We start from the raw sequence: 6,282 nt of genomic DNA on the forward strand, positions 1-6,282 counted from the left end.
CAACAACAACAAAAAATCCTTGCCTACCCCAAAGCCATAAAGATATTTTTCTTTTTTTTTTCTTTTTTCTTTTTGAGACGGAGTCAGGCTGGAGTTCAGTTGTGCCAGGCTTGAGTGCAGTGGCGCCAGGCTAGAGTGCAGTGGTACAATCTCTGCTCACTGCAACCTCCGCCTCCCCTCCCGGGTTCAAGTGATTCTCCTGCCTCACCCTCCCGAGTAGCTGGAACTACAGGCTCGTGCCACCACGCCCGGCTAATTTTTTGTATTTTTAGTAGAGATGGAGTTTCACCGTGTTAGCTAGGATGGTCTCGATCTCCTGACCTCATAATCTGCCCGCCTCAGCCTCCCAAAGTGTTGGGATTACAGGCATGAGCCACCGCGCCTGGCCAGATATTTTTCTATGTTGACTTCTAGAAGTTTTATTATTCTAATGACAACATTTAGATCTACAAATCACCTGGAACTTGTGTGTGTAAAGTAGGGATCAAAGTTTTGTCTTTGTTTTAGTTTTTCCCATATGGTCATCTAGTTGACCCAGTAACACTTACTGGAAATACTGTCTTTAGCACACTCTTCTGGAGTTCTGACTTTGTCATAAATCAAGTGGGCCTATATGTGTGGGTTTGTTTCTTGACACTATTCGGTGCTGATCCCACACTGTTTTAATTACTCTAACTGTGTAATGAGTCTAATATACAGTTGCATAAATCCTCCCACATTCTTTTTCTTCTTCAAGATTGAGCTGGCTATTTTTGGTCCTTTTCATTTCCAGAAGCATTTTAGAATCAGTCATCAATTCCACAAAACAAAACTGCTGGAAATTTGAAAGGGATTACGTTTAATATATACATCAATTTGGGGAGAATTCACATCTTCACAACATTGAATCTTCTAATCCTTGAACATAGTATATGCTTTGGGGTTTAAAATGTCTTCTTTCATTTCTCTTTCAAAAGATAACTTAGGAGAATATCTTCACAGCCTGTCAGGCAAAATGCCTTAATATAAAACATCAACTCTTAAAATCATTTAAAACTTTCTATGTACATAACTTGTACAACTTTCATTATACTTAATGGAAAATATTTGATTTTTTAAAGACTACTATGAAGAGCATTGTTTTAAACTTTTACTTTCTAACTTAGATTGCTGGAATATATAAATTAAATTGATTGACCTTATATCTAGTAATACTGGCAAACTTATTTAATTATGATAGATTATTTATAGATTCCTTTGCATTTTCTGGCATACAAAACAATGTCATTTGCAGATACTACCAGTTTTATTTTTTCCTTTCCAATATTTATACCTTTTATTTCCCTTTATTATCTTCTTGCACTAGCAAGAATTGTATCTTTAGTACAATATTGACTAGAAGAGGAAATAGTGAGCATCTTAGTCTCTATACTTGTTCTAGTGGGGAAGCATTCAATATTTTACCTTTAGAGAAAATGGATTTGTAGATATTTTTTCTCAGATTAAGAAAGTGGCAAGGTGTCGTGGCTCATGCCTATAATCCCAGGACTTTGGGAGGCTGAGGCGGGCAGATCATCTGAGATCAGGAGTTTGAGACCAGCCTGGCCAACATGGTGAAACCCTGTCTCTACTAAAAATACAAAAATTAGCCAGGCGTGGTGTCATGCACCTGTAATCCCAGCTATTTGGGAGGCCGAGGCAGGAGAATTGCTTGAGCCCAGGAAGTGGAGGTTGCAGTCAGCCAAGATTGCACCACTGCACTTCAGCCTGGGTGACAGAGCAAGACTCTGCCTCAAAAAAAAAAAAAAAAAGAAAAGAAAAGAATAGGGTAAATATGTGGGAAACTCTAAATAAGTTTTAATTGTATGAAATAATAATAATAAAATCTTCTAGGCAATAATAACATCAAACAAGGTAGAGTTTACAACAAAAACTCTACTAAAGATAAGAAAACACTTTGTAAAGATTAAACCGCAGTCCATGAGGAAGATAAAACAATCATAAATGTGTAAGTCCTGAATAACATAGTCTCAAAATACATGACAAAAATTGACAAAACTTAAAGAAGTAGAGAAATATACAATCAGAGCAGATTATAAAACATCTCTCAGTAACTGATAATGACAAGCAGACAAAATATCAGTACAGTGAAGATCTATACTGCACAGTTAACAAATGTTACCAATTGACACAAACAGAAAACTATAAACAACAACTTCAGAATATAGATCTTTTTTTCCCCATTGCACATGGGTGGGAACTCTTTCAAAGAAGGCGCAGGTAGCAGAAGTCTGAGGTCTGACCTCTCTAGTAGAATAAATAACAGATACAATAAATGCGTGTTTCCATGCCCCCTGTACATTTGCATTCTAATTCCACTATTAAGTGAGGGCCAGGTGGGAGTTTGTTTAGCCGGAGGATGCGGGATACCTCTCACTTTGGGTGTAACGGGTAGACTCAGAGTAGAGACCAGGAGTTATATTTTGGAGGGGACTCAAAGGTCTAGCTTGCCATATGCAATTCCAAAATAGATTGCACGTTCCCAGAGTTCAGATGGATCCAGGGGAAGAAGTATTTGTGGTAAGAGCTACAGAAACTCCACCAAAGAGGTAAAAGATAAGGAAAAGCATACCAGACAACAATTAATTGATACAGAGAAACTCCTGAGATGAAATGTGCGTATTTGCTGAGCATTTTTAAGGCATTCCCAGGCCTTTTAGGTCATTCTGGACTGTTTCTCTGCTTTTCTGAGCTATTTCAATGACAGTAGTAGCTTCCTTTGTATCCTATTTTTGCAAAAGGTGTATCTGCCTGCTATGGTTTGAATGTTTTTGGCCCCTCCAAAATTCACATTGAAACAGAATTCCTAATGTAACAGTATTAAGAGGTGTGGCCTTTAGGAAGTGATTGATTCAGAACCTTCATGAAAAGGATCAGATGCCCTTATAAAATAACTTGACAGAGAGAGTTAGCCGTTTTTGCCCTTCCATCCCTTCTGCCACGTGAGGACATAGTGTTCTTCCCCTCCGGAGGGTGCAGCAACAAGGTGCCATCTTGGAAGCAGAAAGCAGCCTTCGCCAGACACGAATCCTGCCCACACCTTGATTTTGGACTTTCTAGCTTCCAGAGCAGTGAGAAATAAATTTTTGTTCTTTATAAATTATAAATACAGATTTATAAATCTTTATAAATTATAAATATTTATAAATTTATAAATTTATAATATATTTATAATATATAAATATATACAATATTTAATACTTTAAATAAAATATTTAATTTAAATATTAATATTAAATATTTAATTTAAATAAATATATAATTTAAATAATTTAAATATAATATTTAAAGATAAATAATATATAATTAATATATAATAAATTTATAAAATATAAATTATAAATAAATTTATAAATACAGACTTATAAATCTTTATAAATTATAAATACAGATTTATAAATTATCCTGTCTCAGGTATTTTGTTCTAGAAGCACAAATGGATTAGGATACTGCCTTTAGAAGTGTATATACTGTGCACAGAAAACCTCTGGAAAGTTATGCCCCAATGTTAATAGCAGTTATTTATGAGAATGGGATTTGAGATCTTTTTTTCTTTTTTCTTATTTGCATACACTGATTTTCCTAAAATAAACAAGTAAGCAAAAATAAACAAGTAAGCATGCATAACTTGTGTAACTCCTTTGTTTCTACACTGTCGCCCAGGCTGGAGTGCAGTGGCACGATCTCGGCTCACTGCCTCCTCTGCCTCCCAGGCTCAAGCCATCCTCCCACCCCAGCCTCCTGAGTAGCTAGGACTACAGGCACATGCCACTACACCCAACTAATATGCTTTTCCGTATTTTGTTTTTATAGATCTGGGGTTTTGCCATGTTTCCAAGGCTGATCTTGAACTCCTAGGCTCAAGCTATCTGCCTGCCTCAGCCTCCCAAAGTGCTGGGATTACAGGCATGAGCCACTGTGCCTGGCCAATTTTTAGTTTTATTTTTTAAACAGAAATTAACCTCAAAATCCCATAGACTTGAGTTTCATCCCGAATCAAAAAACCAAAGCCCAAATCAATCACAGTCCCCTGAACACCAACCACCTCGTGATGGAGCTGCAATCAGAGCAACTGCATTTTCTCTTCCTCAGTGAGATCTGTGAATACCTAAGACTTGAATGCATGGTGTGACTATAAAGCCACGCCTGAGTTTTCTTAAACACTCGAGAACTTATAAATTCAAGAAGTGCTGTCTTTCAAAGTCACTCTGCTTGTTTCAGCTTTGAATTTCCTCCATGAAATTGTCTTCAGAGCTGGTTTAGTAACGCCAAAGAAAATAAATTTCATTATAATTCAGAAGAAACACTTGCTTAAGTCACAGTCTTATTCCTCTTTTCATGCCCTCTTTCTTAGTGTTCTTTATTTTTATTGCTAATGTGTTTGACTAAGACCTCAAGGTCCTATTGTTGAAAACCTGGGGAAAAGAGTGTGGGAAGAGGTTCTGAGGCATAATAAAGCCTGGGGCTTGGGGAGGAGTACAGGGAGGGGGCTGGACAGTTTGAATGTGAGGCCCAAAAGTAAGGTGACCATATCATTTATCACCCCATTCTGGTATACTTTTGAGTGTGAAAGAGTCATGATTAATAATCATGTCAGGTCAACCAGGATGTATGATCACCCTATGTGAATAGGGAGAAAGTCAGGAAGGCACTCTAATATTTGTCCACTTGGGCTACCTTTAGGGCAAGAGATGCACCAGTATAACTGACCAAGGGCCATAAATGTGAATTGCCGGAAGTGGAGGATGGCTTCTATTTGAGGATGGAGCTATCATTACATTTGATCATTGGGACAGATCCATCTTTAATTTAGGGAAATCTTATTCAGTGAAAAAGTTACATTGAATTTCTTGAAAGTACTTCTAATAGGTTAAAAGATTTTGTGACTACTTACACATTCAGATACTCCTTGGAAATGAAAAGATTTTTAAGGCATTATAATACACCCACCCACCTACACATGTTCTTGTCACCTTCTAAGACTCCACCATAACCCTGGAATTCTCACATTTCCTTCTCCCCTCAAAAGACTGACAAAAGATTAAACAGCCAACAAAATCCCCCTAATTGCATGGTCATTCAGTCTAAGTTGTTCTCCCATTCACTGCCTTATAGTCTGTTCTTTTGTCTTGTGTTTTCCATCTGTGCAAAGCTGCAGTCTCATTGAGTTTGTTGGCTTTCCCACTTAAGTTGTTTATTGTACCAAATCTCATTCATTCTGGTGGAAATCAGCCTGTAACACAAGGGTCCATGCCATATATGTTAAATATTGCTTTGTTTTTTAAGCCACTGCTTATTGTAACACACATCTTACCAAATTCAAAAAGCAAGAAATCTACAAATCTTTCTTTCAATAGTTTCAAAGTTAACTTTATTACCCATAATACATACTTCTAAAAGAATGCCAGAATAGCTGAATTCATACATTTCACAAAAATTTATTGAGTTCCTCTTTTTTGTAGGTGCACTAGGAGAAATCACACAGTTCCCTACCTCAAGGCTCTCACAGCAAACAAATCTAAAAAAATGATTGAACTGTATACTTAACATTTGTGTACTTTAGGTAAATTATACCTCAATAAAAATATAAATAAAACCAATTTTGCTATATGCTATGGGCTTTTATAGGTCAAGAAAATTGATCTTTGGATTCTCATAACACATTTTTTTAAACAGGCTACTTATTTTAGATATTTATTTTTCCCCGAGTAGAATGGATTAATTACAAGTAATGACATTGGATCAGTCTTGCCTCTTTTAAGCATAGGCCTTTACTGTAATCTGCTTCCAAACAATCCCAATAAAATCGTTGATTTTAAGAGTCAAAAAGTTGCTCAGAGCCTTCTTCAGGGACTCTTAACTTTTTCTGCCACATGGATCCTTTGAAACTCTGATAAAAGCAAAGCTATAGACTTCCTCCCTGGAAATATACACATGCACCAAGATTTTGGGATAAACACACCACTGAAAACCATGCAGGGACCACTTAGGAACCCAAAGATCTCAAATTAAGATCCACTGAGATAACACAATCCTTTTCCTCCAGATGAAAGCAATAGACCCAGGGAGCGAAAACAGCCTGTTTAGGGGCTGAAGACAGAACCCAGCCTTCTGATACTGCTTACTCCACTGTCTCTTTAGATATCATTAAGTTCCCTTGGCCCCCAAAACTCCCATCTGTGGATCCCCTGAGTTTAGAAGAACTTCCACAGTACCTTGTAGCCTACCTTTTATAACTGGAGT

The sequence above is a fragment of the Homo sapiens genome, chromosome 15 (genome assembly GCF_000001405.40).
Source record: "Homo sapiens chromosome 15, GRCh38.p14 Primary Assembly".
Lineage (NCBI taxonomy): Eukaryota > Metazoa > Chordata > Mammalia > Primates > Hominidae > Homo > Homo sapiens.